The sequence below is a fragment of the Homo sapiens genome, chromosome 15 (assembly GCF_000001405.40).
Source record: "Homo sapiens chromosome 15, GRCh38.p14 Primary Assembly".
NCBI lineage: Eukaryota > Metazoa > Chordata > Mammalia > Primates > Hominidae > Homo > Homo sapiens.
In genome coordinates this window covers 95,714,955-95,716,473 of record NC_000015.10, presented here as the reverse complement: position 1 = coordinate 95,716,473, position 1,519 = coordinate 95,714,955, and the positions used below count along the sequence as shown (strand labels likewise).

At 42.3% G+C, this 1,519-nt stretch overlaps 1 annotated feature.

The window, feature by feature from the left end:
- Positions 295-524: a silencer, noted in NCBI's record as "fragment chr15:96259179-96259408 (GRCh37/hg19 assembly coordinates)". NCBI's record gives its function as "represses an EF-1alpha promoter that drives an FKBP-Casp9 reporter gene in an ReSE screen in K562 erythroleukemia cells {active_cell/tissue: K562}" and the evidence as "EXISTENCE:reporter gene assay evidence [ECO:0000049][PMID:32094911]".

The following is a 1,519-nucleotide window of genomic DNA, read 5'->3' as shown; positions in this document are numbered from 1 at the left end:
GCCCTGCTCCCATTAATAATCTTGTCATCTGACTTGTGCTCCAGAAAGCTCCAGCTCATGGCTTCTCAGAGCAAATGTAGCCTGAAGAAAAACAAGACAAAACCAAACAAGATGAAAAAATACATATCTTTGTGCTCATCTTTTTTATTTGATTGGGATTAAGTATTCCAACACTTGGGCATGGGTTTGTGAGGGGAGCAGAGGAGGGGTGGAGAGACAGGGGGTGAGCGAGGCTGAGAAGTCGGCCCCTGTGTGAATGGCCTGGCTTGTCGGGAGCCTACAGTGGTGGGTGTAATGGTATGCGAAGTGACCTTGAATATAGGCGCTGTGGGTAGCCCCAGCTTTTTTGTAAAAGAAGCATTTGCAGTGGAGGTTTGGGTTTCAGGCCTCCCAGTCATCAATCATCTCAGCCCATTCTTCTCTTTGACAGCTCAGTACAAGGCCTGACATTTGACACCCAAGACCCTGGGACTTATGCACAGACACAAGCTGAGGCCCTAAGGGAGGGGAAGAAGGGAAGAGGAAAAAAAAAAGAGCTGTTTTATATATATATATATATATATATATTTTTTTTTGTTTTGTTTTAAGTAGCAAACTGAAGAAGATAACCAAACAAATCTTAACTGCCACAGGAAATGATTCTGCAGCAGAGCATCGCCTTGAATTCTCTCTGCTGCTTTGTGATTTTTTCCTGCTGTTTACAGGTTGCTTAAAATAGTTCTGTGCAGTTAGTTTGGGGCAAATATCTGAGCTTGGCGAGTCACTTTCCATTTGCCAGATTGAATCCAACCTCAGCATTCAAGGATGGATTAGTGGACATGGGGGTTATCACTTTCTGGACAATGGCTCATGACACAGTGACCTGAATGTCATTACATCATACTGTCACCTCAGAGGAAGGCCACCCTCAGGGTACTTTCTCTTTGGAAAATTGAAAAAATAAAAAAGGAGAGATAATAACTCAGGTTCAGATATGAGCTCACTGAAGTTCGAGGTCAACTAATGCAAGTGTTTCAGGGATCAAATAATGGTAATTGGTGTTAAGAAGAATTAGGTAATTTATGGTTCTAACATTGAAAGAGCCTAAAAGGCTTACAACATGCAAGTCCCAGGATTTCATGGGTGAAGGTCCAGGTGGCTCTGCCTCAAATCCCTATTCATCTAAGGCCAGTTAAACTGAGTGCCAAGCTCTGAGCTTGTGAGGCCAAGGGTGTGTGATTAAATTCTTACCCAAGTCTGAGACCTGACAGATCAATCTAGCAAGCATTTTTTTGACACTGACTATATGCCTAGCATTGTACTAGTGTCATAGAACAGGCAAATATTCTAAGAGATGATCCCAGCCCACACAGACACTACCATATATTTGGAGAGATAAAGCATGCATTGATAAGATAGTGCATAATAGTATGGCAAAAAAACAAATATGTTCTGATTTATCAACTAGGTTGTCTCCAGGATTACTTAGCACATCGTTCATTCTGGAAGCACTGGCATCCCACACACCCACTCAAGAAAT